The sequence below is a fragment of the Homo sapiens genome, chromosome 1, assembly GCF_000001405.40.
Source record: "Homo sapiens chromosome 1, GRCh38.p14 Primary Assembly".
Lineage (NCBI taxonomy): Eukaryota > Metazoa > Chordata > Mammalia > Primates > Hominidae > Homo > Homo sapiens.
The window spans coordinates 30707691-30730728 of NC_000001.11; the positions used below are offsets into that span (position 1 = coordinate 30707691).

The following is a 23038-nucleotide window of genomic DNA, read 5'->3' on the forward strand; positions in this document are numbered from 1 at the left end:
GTCACATGACCACGGCCATAGGGCACACCAGGGACAGAGCCTATTCACGCCAGGGCTTTGGATGGCAGAGTCCGTGGTCCCTCCAAGGTGCCTGTGTTGGGCTCCCTTCGACACCTCTGTTTGGTGTCTCTAGTATCCCCCTCCCCCACCAGGCTGCAGCTATTTTTGGCTTGAAGGCACTTATATTCTGATTTGGGGACAAAGGACAATTTGTCCATAGGAACGAGGGAGGGTAGGGCACAGGAAGATACCTCCTTGGGGTGCTCCTTCCTGGCCCCCACTGCACCCCAACGCTCAGATCTGAGCTGCCACCCCCTGCTCCAGCAAATCCTCTGGACATGCCCCTCCAGGGCATCTCAGAGTGAGGCATGGGATAGCAAGGCCAGCTGCAGTTGGGGAGGATACAACCGTTCCCATGAGAGAAGTCACCACCCACTCAGGAGCCTTTGGGAAGGAGGTTGGGAAGGAGGGGATTAAAGAGATTAGATTAAGTGCGACAGGTGCCACAGTGACAGGGACCAGCCCAGCTCACAGCCATGAAGCCCGAGCCCCATCCCCCAGCAAGGCCTGCTCACCCCATTCCTGGGCCAATGGTGCCATCCTGTGGCCAGCTTCCTCCCTAGCAGCCTCAAAGCCAGCCATTCCGGCCCCATTCAAACCACATAATTCCACCGTGGTCATCATTTCACTACGTGTATCAAAACATCCCGCTGTACACCTTCACTATAGACAAGACAAAATAAAGACAGAATAAATAAATTTTTAAAAAAATTTCAATCCATAATTCCAAGGTCCAAGGCAGTCCCTGAGATGATTTTGCCCCGCGTCAGCAGTCCATTTCACAGATGGGCAAACAGGCTCAGAAAGCATCAGCCGAGGCACAGTAAAGGGTGAACAGGGACAGCAGGAACTTCAGAGTCCAACAGGCTCAGCTTCAAATTGCAGCTCCACTACGCCATGACTCAGATGAGTCTCTTCCCGTCTCCAAGCCTGTGTGTCATCTGTAAAATGGGGCTGATAACCATACTGGCTTCACCTCGTGCTTGTGAACTGTTAAGTAGCATGCAGGTCTTTGCCATCATGATTGTGTAGGAATGTCCACCTGTCTGACTCCAGGCCCCACCTGGCACCGTGCACAAGTTCAGAATCAAGTCTGAAACCACAGGCCTGGACCATGTTCACACTGCGCTCCTCCAGGGCAAAGGCCAGGGCACCCCCCACCCCCACCCCCTGCCAAATACAGCTTCCCGGTATGTTCCTCAGCACTTCTGTGTCTGCGATGCTCCCACACTTCCTTTGCCCCTTCCTTCATAGTCAGGCTCCTGTGAGAAAGTAGGGCCATGATTGCAGAAACAGACAGTCTGCTCATTGCTGGGGCCCTGGGGCCTGAGCCAGTGCCTGACACAGAGCAGGTGCTCAGTAAATCACTGTTGGGTGAGTAAATCAATGAATGATTTACTTTTGGTCCCCCCTCTCACATGCAATTACGCCATTATTCCTTTTTAACATCATATTCACTTGTCAATGCATGGCTGTACTAGGTCAGCTCAGTTAGCACTGTGGCTGACAGCACCTGACTCAGGAGTCTGTGAGATCCATTTAGTCCCAGCTCCATCGCTCACTAGATGGGGCACACTGACATGCTACTGAAACCCTCCATGCTTCAGTTTCCTCATCTGTAAAATGGAATGATAAATAGTAAATCCTTCATAGGATCACAGTGAGAAGTCATCAAATCAAGGTCTAGTCTATGAAAAGTGCCCAGAGTGGTGCCGGGCACATAGTAGGTGCTCAATAAACACTGGCCCTTATTACTGGTAGCTGCATTTGGCCTTGACATCTCCAACTCTTTGCAGCATCTTACCCTGTTTGTGTCTTGCCCTGTCCCTTGCCCTCTAGCCCTTCCCCCATCGTAATTACAGAGCAGGGGAGCTCACTGCAGAAGACGGGGTTCAGCCTCTGAAGCCCAACAATCCTCGGTTCAAATCCTGTTTGAGCAGCTTCTTGCTGCGCAGTTTTGGACAATCTGTCTGACCTCTTCGAACTTGTTACTCCTCAGTGAGCAAGAACAGCAATGTGCACCTTGTGCAATATTTGCCATCAATAAAGGAAGGCTGTCGTTTTATTACTATCATTGTTCAGGTGTTCCAGTCCCATCTGTTGTGTTAAATAGACCAGAAGCCTCTTGAGATCGAGGACAGTATCTAGTTGATCACTGTCTCCCTGTCGTCAGCACCTGGCTTGTGCTGTGCACACAGCAGGTTCTCAGGAAGCATTTGGAGAATTAAAAAACCACCCAAGACTTCTCAATCTGACTTCCATGGCAATGCCTGGGACTCCTGGAGCACCAATGGGTGAGCAAGACCCAAATGGAGAGATATCTACACCCCTTACCCTCGTCCTCACCCTGTTTCGCAGCCTAGAAAGTGCCACCCTTTCAGGACCTCCAGCCCTGGAAGTTCTATCTTGCACAAGTGACTTTAGTTCTCTGTGCCTGTCTCTCCATCTCCACAATGGAAGTATTGATGGCAACCTCATATAGTTCTACATTTCTAGAATGCAACCTCTGTGAGATCACAGTGAGGCGAAGTGAGACGGAAGTAAGCAGCAGCCAGACCATACAGCACCTAAGGTGTCAGGCTACGTTTGAATTTTATTCAGGAGGCAGTAGGGAGCCAAAGAAAGTTCTTGAGCAGAGGTGTGAACTGATCAGATGGGCACAGTAGGATCATCACTCTGGTATCAGTGTGCAGAATGGGCTAAAGAACAACAGCCCAAAGGCAGGAAGGCCAGTTAACCAGTGATGGTCCCAACCTTTGAAGAAAGGAATAGGAACCCCTTTCACCATAGTGAGCCTGAACTTCAGAGAGGCCATGTTCTGGAAAGAGCCCTGATTTGGGAGGCAGAGATTTCAGGATTTAAATCTCAGCCCAGCCACTTCCTGTCCACGTGACACTTTACATCTGGCAGCCTTGGTGTCCCTGTCTGTGAAATAAGTTTATTAAAAGGATCACTGAGAAGTGTGAATTGGAAATTGTGTATATATCACCCGGCACATAGGGATCACCCAAAAATGGTAACTCAATAGGTGACCCAAACTTGATTCTGACCCCAAATACTCCAAGGCTGCGACGCCCCCATAAGCAGAGTGGTCCCCTCCCCTTGTCAACATACCTTGATGCCAACCAGGGTTGAGTAGCAGGGCCCCCCAACCCCCAGCCTCACAGGCGGCTCTGAAGAGGATGCAGGCCCAGCCTCAGGTATCAGGAAGTCCCTGAGCAGCTCCTGTCTTCTCCTGGATTAATTGCATTCACATCTGGAACAGATGGGGCATTGGGACTCTCCACCCCCGCCCCCTTTTTTCAAAGAGCACTGGTCCAGGAGAAAACCATGTAATTAAAAGAGGAGAAATGCAAAACAATCCCCTTAGCGGACTGTGCCATCTTCTCTCCCTTGTAAATCCATTAATGAACTGTAATTGCAAAGACAAACCCTTTATTGAAACCTGGTAACCAATGCACTACGGGGCCAAGAGACTCCCATTATAGCCCAAGGCCTGAGGAAAGAAAGAAAAGAACAATCCTAATTAGTTTAGTCCTGTTTATTTATACAAAATTCAAAAAAACAAAATTACAGGTTACAAAGTAACTTGCCATCTGTCAGTAGACCATGGCTGCCCTCGGGAGATGCTGGTTTTCATTTACAACCTTCTGTTAATCAAACCTAGAGCAGAGAGGGATGTGGGAAGTCCATGGAGAGGACGGATTTCAAGAGGACCTGGAGTAGCCGTGGGGAGAACTGCGATGAGTGAAGGGCAAGAGTTTGGGATTGAAAGATCCCAAGAAGCTGGTCCCTGCCTTCATCAGAGCCTGGTGACAAGGTCCTGCCACTACTCCACCCACCGGGCAGGGAAGAACGAGGTCCTATTCCCAGGCAGGGCTTCCACCCCATCTCTGACTCCACTCATCAGGGACATCTGTTGCTTCTGCCCGCCAGCTCCCAGGCCATGGCGTCCGCTAATGACCCTCTCCTCCTCCTTGGGGACACACTGCTGAGCCTTCTCAGTCCATATCAACATGGCTGCCTCTCCCCCTCCCCACCTGTGTGGGGAGGAGAGGGGAGTGGATAATCTCAGAAGAAAGGAAGAATGAGCAGAGTCATAACTTCTCAGGTGGCTGTGTCAAGGAGCCTCCTTGGACAGCAGAAAAACTCCTGCCCCAGGGACGGACAGAGAGAAAGGGTTTGGTGAACTGTGTAGGAGGTGGAGTCAGGTCATGGGGGCGAGGGTGGCTGTGCCCCAGTTAAGTCGCGCTTGTGTATTTGTGCTGTTGTACTGATGTAGCTCTTGGGTACCGTTCGTGTTGTTATTCTGCCTCTTTGAACTGCCTCCGAGGAAGATCTTTCGGTGTGGTCTGAGCTTCTTGTAAAAGCCTTTTAGACATGCTCTCAAGTGTGAATCTAGTAGTAACACTAAAAATGCTCCATTAAACAAGAATAGGTTCAGAAAATCACCAAAGCTCCCCCTCTGAGAGGACAGAGATGGAGATTCCGGAGCAGCACTGGTCCAACAGGGGCCTGGGGGAGGTGGCCGAGATCTCAGGGTGTGACCTGCAGACCCCACATAGGGCTGGAGGAAGGGAACATGGGGCCAGGAGTCTTTCTCTTGTGCAGTCTCTGAGGTGGGGCTGCTGCCATCTGCGTTGGGGACTTTGGGTTGGGGGTGATGCCGCCTGTGCACAGGAAACAAACAGAACTCCAACAGGGCATGTTGGGGGCGGGAGGGGAGAGGCACCTAGGGCAGCCCAGGCCCAGGCTGGAGCCCTTCCCATCATCTCACACACACACTCACCCCGTGGGCTCCCAGGTATCAAGAGGAGGCACAAACCCCTGGTACGACCTAAACCCACTCTCTTTTCCTCTGGCTGGTCCCTCTGGCTGGTGGGGGTGACATGAGCACCCTGCTCAACTGTATGTCTCTTAGGGCAGGAACTACGTCTGTCTCATACAGCACCATCCCCCCCCACCGCCATTGCCCTGTAAGTACATGATACCTGAACGAATGAGTGAACGAATGAATGAATGAACAAATGAGTCCTATCTGGTGTCATTGCCCTTTTTCTCTGAAGCCTTTTTCTTTTGATGTTCTTCAGTCCTAGATTCAAGTCCTGTCTCTCAGCGACCCACTGCTGAGCAAGTCATTTCATCATTTAGACTCTCAGCTTTCCCATTTGTAATGGGGATAATTTGAGTCTTTTCTGGGTAAGGTTACTGGAAGTGAAATGAGGTCAACTAAATGAATATGTAACTGAAAAGGCAGGACAAACACCAGCTGGTTTTGGTGTGGTCACTGTCATCACTGTCACCACCACTGTTACCATCCTTCCAACCATCCCCTCCCACCACATCTTCATCCATCCTTTTCCCTGGTCCCCAAATAACCACACTGCCTCTAGCCCCATTCACTGCTTACGTTAAATCACATTTAATTGTTTCTCACCGGAGAATAGAGAAATCAGTAAAGAAATTCACAGCACTCAGAGTCAAGAAAGGGTTAACTAAAAAAGATGGGAATATATTAAGCTTTTGATTATAAAAATGCAAACGCAGTCCCTCTCACACTCACCCCTGCATTATCACTCTCACACTCACATTCTGGCAAGACTCATGCCCACCCTCAGGCGCACGTGCACACACACACACACACACACACATGCACACATACACACACGCACACATACACACACGAGCTCCCAAACGCCATTACACGCTCTCAATAGGCACACCCAGACACACCCCCTCCCACCCCCGGGCTGGCTTCCCTCACTAAAATGGTAAAGCTACGGCGGACACGTGCAGGACGCTTGGAGAGGCCACAGTGGTGACAGGCAGCCTTAGACAACTGTGTTCTCCAGGATGGCCAGCCGCTTACTCACAGCTTCCAGTGGACTCAGAGTTAAGGAGAGGTGCAGGTTGGCCAGAGCAGGGCAGGGATGGCTGTGGCCCTGCACTCAGGCCCCTGCAACACCCCACTACAGCGTGCATTCTCCCCTCTGTCAGAACTTATCCATCCACTGTCCTCAGAATGGTGCTTTCCAAAAAACACAGCCAGTTACTGTGAGCCACGAGTGCCCAGCCCTGCTCAGTTGCAGATTTAGACCTGCTGGGTTCCCCACCTAGTCCTGGCTGAGCCAGGGGAACTGTCTGGGGCCCAGCCCCACCTCTGAGTGGGTACTGGGGTCAGGCACGTCACCATGAGCCTGAGAAATGGGGCATCCATGGGCTCCATGTTCTTCAGAGCATGTCCAGGACTCTGGTGTGTGTCCAGTCCCTAGATCCTGGCTTCTGCCTCATTTTCTTGTTTACCTTCTAGGAGTCTCTGCTTTTGACAGGGTGTGCACCCAAGCTGGCTTCAGCTTATTCTGCCAGAATGCAGCCCATCAGCAGTAAGCAGGCCAAGAGAAGCCTGCCCAACTGACCACACTTGGGCCATGCCCCCGCCTCCCCCAACACTGGCCTGCGCCCCTCCCCAGCCCCAGCCCCCTCTGGGAAGGGATATGTTTCCTGGTCAGGGCCTGCAGCAGCCCCTCCACTTTGGCTTGGAATTTCACCAGGGACTCGCAGGCACACGGGTCTTCCTCTGCAGGGGACAAGGAGGAGGGAAAGAGAAAGGAACTGTTGAGTGGCTGCCCAGGAGGAGGGAGGACAGTCACTGCCCAGGGCCAGGACTCAGGATTCCCGGGGAGGTGAGGGGCTTAAGGGACCTGAGGAGGCAGAAAGATATAGATAGTCCTTGAGACAGCACCCTTAGGAGTGATAGAGGGGTGACCCCTGAACGTCTTCCTGGTCCCTTGGAGCCCTGAGAATGAACTAGGAGAGCATCCCTGTACCTGCTGCATGAAGAACACTAGTAGGGGCCCCTATGTCACCTCAGTGAGTTCACCTCAGCCCTTTGGGTTTGAAGTCATTAATCCCATCTTACAGGTGAAGAATCCAAGAAGTGAAAAAACTTGCCCATGGCCAACAGCGTCAGAGCAAAGACACAGGCCCAGGCACGTCTGGCTCTGAAACCCACACTCCTTACCACTAAGAACCAGCTGGTGAGGTCACCAGAGAGGACCAGAGAGGCAGTAGGGTTCAAATCTTGGCTCTCCCAGCTATTAACAGTTGTTCCACCCCTTTGGCCTTGTTTATCCCATCTATAAAATGGGGTTAATGACATTCTTACCAAATAGGATCGGATGATGTAATATCCGGAGAGCACTGAGAACACTGCCAGCCACGTAACGAGCATTCAACATGTTTGCTGGTAGTAAGAGCTGTAAGCGCCAGCCCACCTTCTGGTTCTGCCAACTCTTGGTGCCACCTCGGCCCCTGCTTTTCCCCACCCACACCCAGTTCCAGGATGGCTCCACCTCCACAGTGCCCCACCTGCAAATCCCATCAATGCCAGCCCTGGCCTCACTCACCCACACAGATCTTCTTCTGCAACTTCTTGCCTATCTGGTTGATGGTCTTGAAGTCAGCCGTGTAGAAGTAGTGCTCTGCCACAGGCTCTGAGGCTATTTCCCTCAGCTCATCCTCCACGGCATTGCCCACACCCACAGCAAACATCTTAAAGCCTGCCAGGAGGAACAGGAGAAGTAAGGCTGGACATGGGGATGGGCAACCATATGGCTGAGCCTCCTGGGGAAGGCTTAGGCAGCCAACACCAGACACCTCCTGCTGGCAGCTGCTGGAATTGCAAGCACAATGCCTGGAACAAGGACAATGAGAAAATCAATATTTACTGAGGTTCTGCTCTGTGTCAGACCCTATAGTGACTTCCTGTACTGGAAGCTTTGTACAGCAAGCTTCATTTAACCCTAATAATCATCCATCTGGTGGTTATTTTTTCCTCATTTAATAGGTTACAAAACAGACTCGGGCTTGTTCCAAAGTAGAGTTGCCTTCCAATAGTTGATGTGTTCTTGGGAATATCCAGCTGGAAAAGTTCCAAGCCTCACTTACAAAAGGACCATCAAAACAAGCCACTTACTTTTCTGGGGCCTCAATTTTGTCATTGGTATAAGAGAGAATTGGACTAACCAATCCTCCTCATTCAAACTCACCTGGGTTTAGGGCACTAATCAGACGACACCAAGATAAACTACAGTTGGGCTATACCCGTGTGTACCCCTGGCCATCAGTGGTGTCCAGGGTCCAGGCAGGCAACACCTACCGAGGTCTTTGGCCTTCTTGGCAGCATCATTAATGTAGTCCTGGCTCCGGCCATCAGTGAAGACAATGCCCACCTTCTGGGCCCCGGGCCTAGCCCCACTGGACACAGTGAAGGAATTGTCAATGAGGTACTTGAGAGCAGCCCCAGTCATTGTGCCCTTCTCCATGTAGGACATATTCCGCACAGCCGCCTTGATGTCCTTCTTGGTGTGGAAGCGACCCAGGGGGAACTCCTGGCGCACAGAGCTTGAGTACTGCACCAGCCCCACCTGGGCCAGCTTGTCTGACACGTCCAGCGTATCCACGATCTGACTGATGAACTTCTTCACCAGCTCAAAGTTCTCTGGCCTCACACTCTTGGATCCGTCAATGAGGAAGACCAGGTCAGTGGCCGAGCTGCCACCACCACCACTGCAGACTGTGGAGGACAGGAAGGCAACGGGCTGAAGCTGAAGGACATAGTCAACCATCCTGCTCCCCGGCTGGACACCCACCACACACCAAGCTCTGTGCTGAGGATCATTACATTGTGCCCTCAGAACTGCCTCTATAAAGCCAAGGTGACTGGTCCCACTGTACAGTATTGGAAACTGAAACTCCAATAGCTGTGAGATCACACAGCTCAGAAGTGGTAGCACCAGGATTTGATTTTGAGACTATGTGAGTCCTTCTACCACACTAAACCCACCGCCCATTGTGTTGAAAACAGGGACAGAAGTCAGGTGAGAACTTCTGCAGATACCAAACTCTAAAAGGCATCTGTCTGCTTTGAAGATTGGTTCAGAGGTATGGTGCAGGGAGGCTTGAATGGGTTTCCTGGGGAGGCCCCATCACCTCCCCTCCACACCCTCTCCAGGGCGAGCCTGTGTCCACCCCACTGACCATTGCAGGTCTTGCCGTCGCTGTTCAGAGTGAAGCCCTCGTGGCAGGCGCAGGTGTAGGAACCGGGGGAGCTGATGCACACCTGCTCACAGTCATGGTCCCCTGTGGCGCACAGGTCTGACACCACTGCGGGGACAATAAGTAGCTCAGATCTCACAGTCATAGTGCCTTGGGCACTACAGACAGGTTGTCCCTCCCTGACTGTGGATACCAGGCCCCATCCAGACTCAGGGAAACTAAGATCTCCAACATACTGGGGCCCAGGCCCCCGACTCTCAGCCCACGTCTGGAATCATTGCACCAGTGCCTAGATCCCTGAAGAAGGTTATAATGCTGATGATAAGAATGAAAAGTCTCACTAAAAAGGTAAAGGCCAAGGGTTAGGGCCTTTAGTCTGTTTAGTTCACTGCTGTATCAAGACACCCAAGTGTCTAGAACAGCATACAATGAACACAGCACCTATCTGTCAAATACCATATAATGAGGGTTACATTTTGCATTATCTCACTGGATCCTCTCAATAACGTGCATGCTCTTCTTAGACCCATTTTACAAATGGGTAAAGTCCCTGCCCTAACCCTGATCCTGTCCTACTGGACACCCTGCCCCTGCGGGTCACATCCCAAAGACCCACACACACACCTCCCCTCCGAGAAGGGCTCTGAACCTTCTCCTGCCAGTGCCCAGGCCTCTCAGACTCTCCCGCATCACAGAAAACTCTGGCACCCAAAACTCACGACACAGAAACATGTGTAGGTTTTCTGGGAGCTCTCCTTCCTGAGCTCTGGGCCCTCCTTGGTCCCTGCCAGGATTCTGCCACATAAAAGGGCTCTGTTGTTTTTTGTGTGTGCGGTTTTTTTTTTTGTTTTGTTTTTTTTTTGAGACGGAGTCGTCTCGCTCTGTCGCCCAGGCTGGAGTGCAGTGGCACGATCTCGGCTCACTGCAAGCTCCGCTTCCCGGGTTCACGCCGTTTTCCTGGCGCAGCCTCCCGAGTAGCTGGGACTACAGGCGCCCGCAACAACGCCCGGCTAATTTTTTGTATTTTTAGTAGAGACCGGTTTCACCATGTTGGCCAGGATGGTCTCGATCTCCTGACTTCGTGATCCGCCCGCCTCGGCCTCTCAAAGTGCTGGGATTACAGGCGTGAGCCACCGCGCCCGGCCATAAAAGGACTCTTAACATCGCCTCTCCCCAACTCCCTTAACCTGGGGCTGGAGACCCTCCTCCGTTATCAGGCTCCGCCCCAGCTACGGCCCCACCCCTGGTGCTGGCACCACCTCAGTCTAATCCAGGTTCCACCCCCAATCCACCTAAGCCGTGTCCCTAGCCCTGGCCCCGCCCTGATGTTGCCGTGTAACTCAGTTCCCGCCGTTTTATAGGCTACCGCCCCAGCCAGGCCCCGCCCTCTGATGTGGCCCCGCCCCCCGACGCTGACTTTTTCTGTCTTCACTTTAGCGCTGGCTCCGCCCCTAGCCTTGGCCCGCCTCAGCGCGGACTCTCAGTCTCTGCGCCTGCCACGGCCTCGTCCCGCTCAGCCCTGGCCCTGCCCCTGGAGCCGACTCTCTCCGCCTCCGCCCCGGTCCCGCCCTGGCACTGACTGTCTCCGTCTTCGCCCCTGCCCTGGCCCCGCCCCCTGCCTGCTCTGGCCCCGCCCCGCCGCTCTCTCCGTCTCCGCCCCTGCCCTGGCCCCACCCTTGCCCCGCCCCGGCGCTGACTCTCTCCGTCTCCGCCTCCGCCCCCGGCTCCTCCCCGGCCCCGCCCCGGCACTGACATTCTATCTCTCTCCCGTCTCCGCCTCTGCCCCCCCCCCGGCCCCGCCCCTGCCCTGCGCCGGCGCTGGCTCCGTCTGCGCCTCAGCCTCGGTCCCGCCTCCAGCCCTGGCCCCGCCCCGCCGCTCTCCCCTTCTCCGCCCCTGCCCTGGCTCCGCCCCCGCCTGCCCGCGCACCGCAGAAGGCCTCCTGGAACTTCCTGGACAGCTTCTCGATGACGCTGTAGCTCTCCACGTAATCGACGTGTTCGTCCTGCGGCTCGCTGGCGATCTGCCGCAGCGTGGCCTTGTCCACGCTGCCCACTCCGATGGCGAACAGCTCGACGCCGCTGGCCCGGGCCCGCGCAGACACGTCCTGCACGCTGTCCTGGGGCCTCCCGTCTGTCACCACGATGACCACCTGCGACACGCGGGGCGGTGTGACACCGGGCTCCCGGAAGCCCACGGGACTGTCCAGGAGAGGAGGCTGAGGCCCGGAGAGGCGGGAGGACTGCCGGGTCGCACAGCCAGGCGGCACCCGGGGGAAGAGGACCCGGCTGGCCGAAGAGGAGACCCGTTTCCTCTGACTGAGAGACGTGGCTGGGGGGCTTTCCATCTGCTTCGCCTCCCTCGGGCAGGCAGCTCTGAGATGCCCGGAGGGATGTGATGCCCCATCGCCAAATTGGGGTCTCTAAGGTCAGGGCCATGCCTTCCCCTCAGACTGAGGCGGCTGAGGGCAGGGTCCTCAGGCTGATGGCTGTGGGAGTCGTGCCACGCCCCTCGTGCCCCCGGGAGGCCCGGCCGGGGCTGGGTGGGGGGATCCGGTGGTTCCACATGGTGCAGTTCTGCGCTTTGGCCACCAGATGGCAGCCGAAGCTAAGGGATGGGGCTGCCGTCTCCCGTCTTGCTGTCCTTGTCCCGGTAAGACCGGGGACCCTGGACCAGGGAACCGACGGAGGGCCACTCCCATGTGGATGCCCAAGGGACCAACCCAAGAAAGATGCCGCCCTTATCCTCCTCCACTCCCCGGTATGATACATGCCCCTGCCAGAGAGGGAAAGAATCTGCCTGCTCCCCTCCCACTAGGCTCCTCTGGTCTGTACCCTGGAAAGAAAGAGGTGGCGGACTCTGTCACTGAGATCCGGCTTCGTGACCCCCTGTCTGCACCCGCCCTGAGGCTAGGGCGCTCCCAGCTCTGCCCAGTCTGGGTTAGGCATCCAGTCCCGCTTTGCTGCTTCTCTGCTTCTGACTTGGGTCTGTTTCTGATTCCTGGGTCCCATCCTTAGCCCCAGGTCCTGACACCCTGTCCTGATGACAGGCAGTTGAGACAGGCCGTGTTTAGAAATGCAGCTCCACAAGCTACAGGTCACCTTCCTGAGCCTCAGTGTCTTCAACTGTAAAAAGGGTTGTGGTGAGGTTGAGTGAGATGACTCCTGGTTAGAAGCCAGAAGGGGCAACTATTATTTTTACCATCATTACCCTGGGCTACCTGGGGAGTGACTTTGTACAATCTCTTCCTCTCCAGGGGCCTGGGCTCCTGGCTCTGAAAATCTAGCTGTGACTATTCGCTGCCATCCCGAGGCCCACTGCCTCCTCGAGTCCCTACTCCCCTCCCTGCAACCCAGCTTTCAGATTGTCCACCTTGCTGGGTCCTCCCACAGGTGAACTCCAGGCTGAACACCTGGAGTCTGGTGCCAGCTCCCCCAGCGCCGCTGTGTCACCTGCTGGAGGAGCTCTCTCCTCACTTGCCCACCCCACGCCACCACCCCCATCTCCTTCACCCTCTCCACCACCTCAACCATCAGCTTCATCTACAGCACCCCGTGCTGAAACTTGTAGTTGGCCCCAAGACCGACAGGCTGCCTGATACGTCATTTCTCTAAGGGGTGGTAATGGCTGGGATTATATGCTGTTGTCTCTGTGAATGCTTTTCCCACTTATTGGCTGAGCAAGTTGCTTAAGCTTCTTATGCCTCAGTTTCACCATCTGTAAAATGGGGATACCACCTCCGAGCAGAATCATGTTCATTTATCCACTGTGTGCTAGAGAGTGGGGTATGGAGGAGGGATAAGAAAGAACCTCCCCTGAGCTGGGGCCCTGAGCAGGGAAGTGGCGACTCGGGCTAACGAAGGCTGCAGTGGGGAAGTGCTGGAGCCTGTGGGGGTGCCACAGGAACAGAGGACACCTGGCTTAGCCTCAGGTTCTGTGCTGAGCCCTGAACATGACAGTGAGGATACAAGTCCTGGGAAACGCTCAGCCCTCTGCCTGGAGCCCTCACTGACAGCACAGGTGGCAGCACAGCCCTTCCATTTCTGAGCCCCTGCCCTCGGAGAATTATGAAATTAAAAATTATCAAATGCCATGATGGGAAGCCTTATGCTTTTGAACTCAGTCCTCAGCAGCACTTGGAGAAGGTGTTATCATTACTCCCATTTTACAGGTGAGGAAACCGAGCACCAGTGACATGACGTCACTTGCTCGGGGTGGCACAGCTAGTATGGTGGAGCAGGGCGTGAACCCAGGCAGGCTGGTGGCGGAGGCCACACCTTCACTCCTCCCATAAGCATCTGGCCTGTCTGCAATGTCTTCAAGGGGCTCAGACTGGTCGGGAACCAAGGTCAACTAAACTGAAATGATTGTAAGCTCCTAGGATGGAAAGGTTGGGTAAAGGTGGCTTCAAATCCCAGCTCTGTCACTTGCAACTGGTGACCTCTGTCTAATGACCGCCCCTCTCTGACCCTGTTTCCCCAGCTATGAAATGGCCACCTCACGGGGCATCATGGGAATCAAAGTGTCTGCAGGCAAAGCTCATAACTCCGAGCGGGAGCCTCCAAACAGCAGCATCCTAGCAGGGTGGCGTGCACGTACCTTGCTGATGTCAGGGGACCTGGAACGACCACCCTCTGCATCGCCGAAGGCTTTGGTGATAGCGAACTGGATGGCCAGGCCGGTCATGGTGCCTGTGGACAGCGGCTGGATACGGCGCACAGCCTGCAGCAGTGCGGCCTTGGAGACATGAGCCCGCAGCGAGAACTCCTGCTTCACGGTGCTGGCATAGTTGACCATGCCCACCCGGGTGGCATTGGGCCCCACGTCCAGCGACTCGATGACCTGGGACAGGAATACCTTCACTTTCTCAAATTCAACAGGCCGAACGCTGCGAGAGCTGTCGACAACAAACACCAGGTCTGTGGGCCGCGTCCGGCAGAGATGGCCTGGGAGTGGGGCAGGAGGGGTAAGGCAGAGAGCAGAGACACAGGTCAGGGACTGGGCCTGAACACACAGAGTGCGGCTTCTTAGATCCAGGTGCGAGGCCTCGGGCCCAGTAGGCTGCAAACTTCAGCTGGGCAGCTGAGCCCTTTTATCAACATGCAGACACCAGCAAGCAACTTGCCAAAGGCCCCCTGCTCAGCCCATGGGGAACACAGAGGGCCAAGCCTGGCCTTGGGCCATTTGCTTCACTTCTCTGAGCCTCAGTTTCCTCATCTGAGCAGTGAGCTAGCAATCCCTCCTTACAGGATGTTTTGAGGAGCCAGCAGGGGGCCAGGCAAGCAATGAGTATTCCAGGGGTGGCAAAGGACCCTGCGGCCTTGAAAACACATTTAGGTTTCAGCCCAGACTTGCTGCCAGAAACAAGGGCAGCTATTTCTTCTAGCTGGGCAGGAGGGCACCAAGGATGGGCCCTCCAGGCATGGGCACAGGCTTGAGAGCCAAAGCAGTGCCCGTCAACATGGCCTCTTTCATCTGAGCATCAAAGCAAATCACCAAAGTGGAACCAGTTTCCCTCAGCCTGGCAGCGCCTGCTGGCGGGTTGCCAAAGACAGGGAAAAGGAGCAGGAATTCCTGGTGGCCACCTCGGCAGCCTGATCAGGTGCACACCAAGACACACCCCCGAGGAGCAATGTCCTCCAGAGACCCAAGAAGGCAGCACCCTGTGCTGGGAAGTATGCAGGGTCAGAGTGAGTTCAGGCCTGGGTTCAAATCCTGGCTCAGCCACTCTGTGGGGCCCTGGGCAGATCATTGCACCTTTCTGAGCCTCCGTGATCTCACATGTCCAGTGGAGAGAATAAGGCTACTGTCACTGGCCTGGGCCTGCAGTCAGGAAGGTCTCACTACAAAGGCCCTTCCCTCCCCATCCCATGCGGAGTCTGAACTGAGCAGAGCCAATCCCAAAGAGGAAAGGGGAAACGTGCAGGGCCGTCCCAACCCCCAAGTCACAGTAACTCACAGTGCCCTAGACTGGGGCTCTGGACATCAGAGTTCCTCAGGAGACCTTAGAAATCACCATGCAGCAGGCTCCCTGCTGTCTACTCGCTAAGGCTACAAATGGGTAAACTGAGACCCAAAGAGGGAAAGGGAATTGGCCACACCGTACAGCAGTAGATCAATAACCTAGAGGCTCTGGCGCTATCTCACTGTGTGGTCTTAGGCCCTCACTGACCTCAGTTTCCCCATCTGTACAGGAAGAATGGGCATTCCAGGACTCAGTGCCCAAACCTGAAACTCTGGGGGGTGTTATTGCCCCCAGGGAGCCCAAGGCTGGAAGGACCTGCAAAGGGGGCATGAGCTCTTGGCATCCCAGGTCTGCTGTCATCAAAGAGCCATGGGCTCAGCCCTGGGCTTGGTGCAGCTCCAGACGTCAGCCAGCTCTCTGAGTAGCTTCTGCTCCCCAGAGACCTGGAAGACCAAGGTCCCTGCCTCATGCATGGTCCCTGAGGGCTGAGGAGCACCCCTGCCCTGACCCTTATAAGCACCATGGTCCCTGTCTGCTCCTGCACCAGCCCACTGCCCACCACTGCCGCCCTGCTCCCTTCCCCATCCTGGATCCCGTGTGCTCCCTGCCATATCGGTACCCAGCCCCCAGTGCTGAGGGTCAGGGCCCACTAGCTCAGTAGCCCCCATCTCACGCAAGCCCCCTCACCTCTGGACTGGGGGGCGAGGCCAGGGCTGCACAGGGCCTGGAGCAGCAGCAGCAGGCTGCAGAGCATGAGGCTAGTGCCAGAGAGGACCCTCATAGTTCTGGCAGCACGGGCAGCAGCCGGCACGGTTGTGGGACCAGTGGGGTCCAGGTCTTATCAACCCCACTGCCCGCCCAGCCTTTGGGTCAGGTGGCCCCCAACTGACGACTGACGTGGGGGCAGCCCGCCCTGGCCCCCAGCCCCCCCAAAGGGCGGGGCTTGGGCTGAATGGAGGTGTGTGTGCCCTGAGAGGGCGGGAGAGCCTGGCCCAGGCTTCAGAGGCCCCTCTGACCACAAGGGCTCCTTTGCTTGCAGAAGCAACTAGAGCGGCAGCTGGAATTTGGGAAATCTCAGGTGGGTGGGGGGTGGCTCTTCCAGGGGCTGGAGCCCGCGCTGCCTTGAAGCTCCACCCCAAGCCTAGGCATACCTGAGTCCAATGGCCCGGCCCAGCCCTGTCCTGCACCTTCATCCCACACCCAAATCCTTCCCCCACTCACAACCCCAAGTTTCTCATTAAATTCACTTCCCCTTCCCCAGCCTCACTGTGCCCTGCTCTCCGCACACGCCCTGCTCTCCAGCTACCCCTGGATTCTCCTCGAAGGCCTCCAGGCCATCACACATGCAGGGCCATCTGCCCAGAATCCTTTCCTCTCACTAACTCTCTGCCTTGTAGAATCTTTCAAGGTCATAATTAGGGCTAACATGTACCTTCACTGTTAGTATGGGCAGGGCAGTGGAGACCATGGTTAAGAGCACAGACTTGGGAGCCAGGTTACCTGGGTTTGCTATACCAGCAAACCACCTGTGTGACCATGGGCAAGTGACTTCACCTCTCATGTCTCAGATTGCTCATCTGGAAACTAGGGATGGTAATAGCGCCTCCTAGGGTTGATTCAAGGAGCAAAGGAGTTAGATGAGGTTTCTCAGTTAATCCTCTTGACAACTTTTTAAAGCAGCTACTGTTAAAGAACAGAGAGGTAAAATAACTTGTCTGAAGTTACACAGCTAAGAAGTGTTATTGCCAGGATAGAGCCCCAGGCCCGGCTCTCAGCCATGCTGCTGTCTCAGTGTAGCTTGATGTAGGTGGCTTCTCCCTGCCCATCTCTTCCCCCTGTGGGTCCCTGCTTGGCCCACCTCACCTGTCAGCCAGTGGATTCAACTCTGCATCAGGCCCAGCACAGAGAAGGCAAAGATAAAGCCTTCTAAACAAAGTAACATCAGCAGGAACGATCCCCTTCTTTGCATTTGGGTCAAGTAGTTCATGAGATAGAGCAGAAAGAGCATGGGCTTGGCTACCTGAGAGATCCAGGTTCAAAGCCACTTCTGCTCCTAACTGGCTGTGTGACCTGGAGCTGGTGACTTAACCTCTCTGAGCCTCAGCTTGCCATGGTGCAGTGGGAATGGTCGTTCTTGATCTGCCTGCCCCATGTGAGGGGCAAGAGGGGGACAGAAGTGGAAATGGAGTTAAAGGATTGTCATTGCTCCAGGAGGCAGAATCCTAAGACTTGGGACCTATGCACTTCACTCTGTGTAAATTATACCTCAATAAAAGGAAATGTACAGACAAAAAGCGACTGCTGGGTGCAGCAGACCCAACTCACCGCTACCACACTCTTTAGCAATAATTATAACAATCCCTTCCACCCTTGACATGGCAGTTACTCATTCTATCACTCTATCTCATTTGCTCACCCAACAAACCTGTGAAGTCAGCAGATTTGAGTCTCTTGGCCCATTTGTCAGATGGAGAAACTGAGGCCCAGAGAGGTTCACTGACTTACCCGAAGCCACCAGCCAGTTTAGGGGCAGAGCCAAGCCTAAAGCTCAGGCCTCACTCCCCTTTGCACCAGTGTTAGAGAAGGAGGAGGTTAAGAGCATTGCCTTCTGACTTTTTCCCCTTATATTTCATGTGTGCCTAATTCACTGCCCTCCCCAATTCCAAAAACCACTTGAAGCTGCTGATTCCTTTTTCTGCTACAACTTTGAAGTCGAATTCTTCTCCAGAGATGCTGCAAGGTGTGATGATGGTGGTGCCTCTCCCTTCCCAAAATGGTGTAATTAAGGTGTTACCTGTCTCCCCAAGGACGTGAGCTCCCTCCGAGCAGGGGGCTTGCCCGTCTCAGTCACCACTGAATCCCTGGGACCCAGCATGGTGCCTGGCACAGGATCTCTGGTAAGCAAATGAAGGAATGAATGAAAACTAACTACGAACCTGTTCCATTTCCCTATAAACCACCCAGGGTCACACAAGGGCCATCCACGGTGACCAGCGGTGAGAAACGCAATGCTGTCCTCGTGCCATGCTGGAGGTGAACGAGGAGAACGTGAGCTGGGGTCTCCTCACCAACTGCTCCCCCCACCCCAACCCCCCTGACGGCCAGGGCTGTGTCCAGGGCTCAGGGCACAAGGCTCCGTTAGCTGGGCAGCAGCTGGCCCATGAAACAGCCCTTTCAGCTCCACCTCTGAATGGCAGTTCTATGGGCTCCTCGGAAGAACACAGGCGCCTTCTCTGTGTCACTTCTCCGCTCATTAGCAGAGCTGCAGAAATACACTACAGGTAACTTTTCAGGAACAGAGATGGGTCCCCCCCCGAACACCACCAGAAAAAAAAAAAAGGCAGCTTTGGCATTCTATAACAGGGGCAAGGCCTGGGGGCGGTGGTGGAGAGGAGATCTAAAAGTTCAGCATATACATTAAGGAAAGAAAATCAATATTTGTGTTTTTTAAATGTGAAACATTTTTCCCCAGGACTCAAAATTGAGAACAGTGTGTCCGGTATGAGCCAGAAGGAAAAAAAAATGCACGAAGGGGCCTTCTGCAAGGTTGCTCACAAGTCAAACAGGCAGCTGTGAAGGGCTCTGCTGTTCCCTCCTCCTGTTTTCACATCCCTCGGGCTTCCAGAAACTTAAAGCCGTTAGTGTTTCATGCAAGAGAGAGCATCTGTGATCCACGGAGAGGCCCCTGGGCAGTGTGGTTCAGTGGGAAGCACACAGGACTCCCTCCCCAGTGCTCCCAGGATCAGCTCTTTCCCTAAAGAGCAAACCTGGTTATCTCGCAATGACCTAGCTAACACAAATGCAACATCAGCCGGGGCAGCCTGCCCCCTTCACTCTTTGCCCACCATCAGCTGTTTGGCAGTATCCATATACGCCTTTACCAGTATTTATTTAATCTTTTTGTTTAATTCACTCTAAACCAACTCACTTCTTAAAAATTTCTCTGCCTTATAAGAAATAATAGCCATGAAATCACTGGTTTGATGTACGGTTTATTTATTTATTCCAATAAACACTCATTCAATATAAAATTCAAATAAATTCAAAACTAATTAAATTTAGCTTTTTCATCCACATATCACTGAAAATTTTCTTGTTTTCTGCCAGTGGCATGCACGACAGACTTTGAGGAATCCTGTGAAGTGAAACGGCTTTAGAATCAAAGAGAGCTGGGCTTGAGTCCCCCTCTGTCACAGGCCAGCCATGGTGACTTCCGGTAAATCCCTCCTTTTTCTGCCTGTTTCATGTCAGTAGCATTGGAATCCTAATGCTAATGCCACAGGAAGGTTGTAAGGAAGAAATGCAGTGAATGCTACATCAAGCGTATTGGGCTTTTTGTTTTAGTTTTTTCCTTTTTTTTTTTTTTTTTTTTTTTTTAGGATGGGGTCTCACTCTGTTACCCAGGCTGGAGCGCGGTGGCACAATCACAGCTCACTGCAGCCTCGACCTCCCGGTTTCAGGTGATCTTCCCACCTCAGCCTCCTGAGTAGCTGGGGCCATAGGTGTTCACCACCATGCCCAGTGAATTTTTTTTTTTTGTAGAGACAGGGTTTCACCGTGTTGCCCAGGTTAGTCTCGAACTCTTGAGCTCAAGTGATCTGCCCACATTGGCCTCCCAAATCGCTGAGATTACAGGCGTGAGCTACCGTGACAGGCCAATGCTTATTATTTTTACAACGCCTTCTTTTATCAGTCAGGCTAGGATAGGCTATGTTGCAATAGCAGACATGCCCCCCAAATCACAATGGCTTAATACAGGGTTTGCTTCTCTCTCCTAGCACCGTCCAGTGCCAGGTGGGTGCCCCCCACATAGGCCCTCTCCAAAGCTGCCTCCACCATTTCCAAGTCCTTGTCTCAGGCCATGTGGACAAGAGAGAGACAGCAAGCATCTCTCTTAACTGCCTCAGAGAAGGAGTACACATTACCTGACTCTACCTGGATGCCCAGGGCCAGGATATGGCATTTAGTTAGCAGTGACAGTCTCTGTCACCATTGCCGGGGGGAAAGCCTTTGTTAGCACTGGATCACCTCTAGATGGAAATTCAGACTTGGCTGGCATTTAAAGCTCTTCACTGTCAGCTTCCTTCCACCTTCCAGGCCATTGTCAGTCTTTCTCTTTCTCTCCCTCTCCTTCCCTCCCTCCCTCTCCCTCTCTTCTCTAGTCTTTCCCTTTCTCCCCCTCTCCTCCCCTCCCACCATCTCCCTCTCTTCTCTAGCACTGAATGAGTCACTCTCCTGTTTTCAGAGCCTCCCAGATAGACTCCAGCCCTCTCACTAGCTCCCTATCAGAGTTTGCACTCAATGCATGGTGACCCATTTTATTTGTAGGGAAATGTGAAACCCTGAAGCTCAGACTCTGAAGGAAACTCAAAGGTCATCTACACCTGGCCACCCATGCTACTCACCTGGTTGTTAAAAATACAAGGTCCACCCCTGCTACGTGCCTTCTCGGGGCCAGAGGGTCAGCCCTCACCCCAGGAGCGACTGCGAGAGCTTCCCACGGGGAATGGCCCCTGTAATCAATCACACTGGAAGAAGAAATGAGCATCTGGAGGAGCGGGCTCAGGTTTAGCACTGGGAACTCTAGCTGGCCCAGTTAATGCCCCAACCCATGGCCCTTCAGCCCACTGTGGGTTCAGCTCACCTACAGCTGCAGGCAGTTCCCAGGGACGCAAGCAGTGGGCCAGGCAGCCTGGGGATTTAACATCCCCAGGTATAACCCGCAACCTGCAGGGATCAGAAGACCCCAACGTCCCCATCCCCCATTGAACAGTTCTGAGACACGCTCCTCGCCGTTCCTCAGAAGGTCCCCAGCAGGAGTGAGCCGCGGTTGCCCACAGAGGTGACCAGCTTATTCATGCACATTGTATTGGCTTTTATCCTGTCCCCACCTCACTTCCCCTCACTGTATTTCCTGGGATCACCTCCCAAATAAGCTACCTGCACCCAAGTCCTTTTCTCAGGATACCCGGTCACATCTCCAGGCCTTGGCCCAGCTGTTTTCCAGCCTCGCATGTCCTCCCAGCACATAGAGCAGAGGAAGCAGCAGGCGAGTGTTCTGTTCGACTATCTGGGCCACTGAGATGGCAGCAAAATTGTTTCCCAGGTGGATGTTGTTTATTTATTTAGAACTGTGGCTCCCTCGTGCCAGCAGCTCTCTGCTATGCCCACTGACCATCGGCGTGCTCTTGGTGGCTAATTAGGGAGACTTCTTCCTGGGACCCGGGAGACAGACTGGAATGTGAGCACTGGTTCCCAGAGAGCCCATCCGGGAGGGCAGCGGGCAAGGCCTGTGGCTGCAGAGACACACAGTGGCTGCTGCTTATACCCTCCGCAGAGGCCCTGCTGCCACCCAAAGACCCAAGGAGAACCCGAGGGTGGGTCCTGCCCCTGACTTCCTTTAACCTGACTGCTTTTCTTGACACTTAAACGGTTTCATTGCAAATTGGAGACACTGCCAGAGTACCGGATTGGACATGAATCTCTGGTCTTCCCAAAAGTCAGGCAGAGATGTGGAGGGGCCCACAGTCACAGGGCAGATTCCTCACCTGCAAAGTGGCCATGCTCATCGCCCCATCCAGGAGCCTGCAGTGCAGCTGGGCTGCTCCTCCTGCCCAGGCCCCATTCGGGCCACAGACCCCATGATCTGAGGTGTCACATGTGGTTCATGACACCTCCCATGTGCTATCTTGGTCTCAGGCCCCACGCATGGTCAGCCAAACTGGAATCCAGGGTGAGGAGGCGTGTGCTTTCATCTGCCGGCCTGTCTGGGGAGGCCACGGAGCAGCAGCACATCCTTCTGATGGGTTAACACCTGGGTGATACCAGCCCAACCTGATATCCCACCCACATGTCCAAAGATAGCACTCACATCTCAACCTGCCTCCCTCCTCGCTCTCCTAAACTCCAGACCTAGAGACCCAGCTGCTTCCTGAGCACCTCCCATTATATGTCCCCCAAGGAAGCGCAAATCTAGCCCCACCAAAACGCGATGCATCCTTTGCCATCCCCCGTTTCGCATCCTCTGCTCAGAGCTGGGCACCACCATCCGAGGGTCCGCAACATCCAAAAGCTCCCTGCTGCCTCTGAGGCCTCCTGCTTCTGCCAGGGCCCTCCCAAGAGGGCTCAGAGCCTGGAATAGGAATTAAATGAGGGCCTTGTGAGGTAGAAATTCCCAGAGGAAGGGCGAGGTTACCCAGAAAGGTCTAGAGAGACAAGCTCAGGTCCATTTGGGTGGACTGAAGTCCAAGCCCAGGTCTGCCCCTTGGCCAATGCGTGACTGTGGGCAGAGGCAGCCCCTCCCTGAACCTCAGGAATGATCACCACCCAGCACCTGCTGCGTGAGGCCACTGGGAGCTTTGTGGAGCCAGCACACTGAAGGGCCCACTCAATTACGGGGACCCTTCCTGCTACCATCACAGCTCCCGAGAAACCTGAAGTTGCCCCGCTTAGCACCCCAGGTTTAATTTTACCAGCTCTTTTTTCCCTCCAAGAGACAACCACTCCAGGCTGCCCTCACCTGCCCAGGCCTGGAAGCAGCCCCCTCTGTCCTGGGGCCGGCTCCTTTCCAGGCATGAAGCTCAAACAGGCGCTGTCAGTGGGTCCAAACCATCGCAGCCCCGTCAAAGGACCCCTGTGTGAGCCTCAAACGGGGCATTGATAGGGCCTCAGTGAGGGCTGCCCAGGCGATCGTGGGCTCGCTTGGCTTGGCTAGCCATGCGGACTTCCCCAAACCCAGCTATTTCCTGTCCCTCGGGTGGCCCCCTCCCAGCTGCCTGGCCACAGGGCACAATCCCACTACACAGCTCAGCCTGTTCTTCGGCTCCAGGCCAGAGGTGGGAGTCGGGGAAGGCGGGAAGGACGGGAGAGTCGCGCCGGGAAGTTCAGGGCCTCCTGGTCCTTGTGACACACGCAGCCATGGCCCTTCAATCTCCTTGTGATAGGATGCAAGGCTGGGC

General features: G+C 54.4%; 1 protein-coding gene and 2 long non-coding RNA genes across 3 annotated transcripts, besides 8 other annotated features; 1 reads left to right on the forward strand and 2 right to left on the reverse strand.

Moving 5' to 3' along the window:
- Positions 172-672: an enhancer, noted in NCBI's record as "H3K4me1 hESC enhancer chr1:31180709-31181209 (GRCh37/hg19 assembly coordinates)". NCBI's record gives its function as "activates a minimal SCP1, AML or CMV promoter by ChIP-STARR-seq in primed H9 embryonic stem cells {active_cell/tissue: H9 hESC(primed)}" and the evidence as "EXISTENCE:reporter gene assay evidence [ECO:0000049][PMID:30033119]".
- Positions 756-2489, reverse strand: LOC124903888 (uncharacterized). The gene is made up of 2 exons (XR_007065565.1): positions 2407-2489; positions 756-1001 (listed from the first exon to the last, which is right to left on the reverse strand). It is a non-coding gene; the product is annotated as an uncharacterized LOC124903888 (long non-coding RNA).
- Positions 3587-15895, reverse strand: MATN1 (matrilin 1). Its single transcript, NM_002379.3, has 8 exons — positions 15768-15895; positions 13715-14061; positions 11045-11267; positions 9100-9225; positions 8219-8635; positions 7467-7619; positions 6557-6637; positions 3587-5941 (listed from the first exon to the last, which is right to left on the reverse strand). Exons 1-8 carry the CDS (start codon positions 15859-15861, stop codon positions 5892-5894), a joined length of 1491 nt encoding a protein of 496 aa, NP_002370.1. The 5' UTR covers positions 15862-15895; the 3' UTR covers positions 3587-5891.
- Positions 10305-10484: a silencer, noted in NCBI's record as "silent region_558". NCBI's record gives its function as "represses an Ori minimal core promoter by ATAC-STARR-seq in GM12878 lymphoblastoid cells {active_cell/tissue: GM12878}" and the evidence as "EXISTENCE:reporter gene assay evidence [ECO:0000049][PMID:35858748]".
- Positions 10525-11044: a silencer, noted in NCBI's record as "silent region_559". NCBI's record gives its function as "represses an Ori minimal core promoter by ATAC-STARR-seq in GM12878 lymphoblastoid cells {active_cell/tissue: GM12878}" and the evidence as "EXISTENCE:reporter gene assay evidence [ECO:0000049][PMID:35858748]".
- MATN1-AS1 (MATN1 antisense RNA 1) lies at positions 11082-19056 on the forward strand. Its single transcript, NR_034182.1, has 4 exons — positions 11082-11875; positions 13598-14032; positions 18045-18361; positions 18553-19056. It is a non-coding gene; the product is annotated as an MATN1 antisense RNA 1 (long non-coding RNA).
- Positions 11105-11274: an enhancer, noted in NCBI's record as "active region_615". NCBI's record gives its function as "activates an Ori minimal core promoter by ATAC-STARR-seq in GM12878 lymphoblastoid cells {active_cell/tissue: GM12878}" and the evidence as "EXISTENCE:reporter gene assay evidence [ECO:0000049][PMID:35858748]".
- Positions 11372-11947: an enhancer, noted in NCBI's record as "H3K27ac-H3K4me1 hESC enhancer chr1:31191909-31192484 (GRCh37/hg19 assembly coordinates)". NCBI's record gives its function as "activates a minimal SCP1, AML or CMV promoter by ChIP-STARR-seq in naive and primed H9 embryonic stem cells {active_cell/tissue: H9 hESC(naive and primed)}" and the evidence as "EXISTENCE:reporter gene assay evidence [ECO:0000049][PMID:30033119]".
- Positions 11605-11694: a silencer, noted in NCBI's record as "silent region_560". NCBI's record gives its function as "represses an Ori minimal core promoter by ATAC-STARR-seq in GM12878 lymphoblastoid cells {active_cell/tissue: GM12878}" and the evidence as "EXISTENCE:reporter gene assay evidence [ECO:0000049][PMID:35858748]".
- Positions 22523-22652: an enhancer, noted in NCBI's record as "active region_616". NCBI's record gives its function as "activates an Ori minimal core promoter by ATAC-STARR-seq in GM12878 lymphoblastoid cells {active_cell/tissue: GM12878}" and the evidence as "EXISTENCE:reporter gene assay evidence [ECO:0000049][PMID:35858748]".
- Positions 22803-22912: an enhancer, noted in NCBI's record as "active region_617". NCBI's record gives its function as "activates an Ori minimal core promoter by ATAC-STARR-seq in GM12878 lymphoblastoid cells {active_cell/tissue: GM12878}" and the evidence as "EXISTENCE:reporter gene assay evidence [ECO:0000049][PMID:35858748]".

Bases quoted from the DNA above. Each gene is read 5' to 3' on its own strand.
- MATN1 (NM_002379.3), bottom strand. From the start codon at position 15,861: ATGAGGGTCCTCTCTGGCACTAGCCTCATGCTCTGCAGCCTGCTGCTG. The intron at 14,062-15,767 runs GTGAGGGGGCTT...CCCCACTCCCAG, and splicing joins CCTCGCCCCCCAGTCCAGAG to GCCATCTCTGCCGGACGCGG. The intron at 7,620-8,218 runs GTAGGTGTTGCC...TCCTCCTGGCAG, and splicing joins CAAGAAGGCCAAAGACCTCG to GCTTTAAGATGTTTGCTGTG.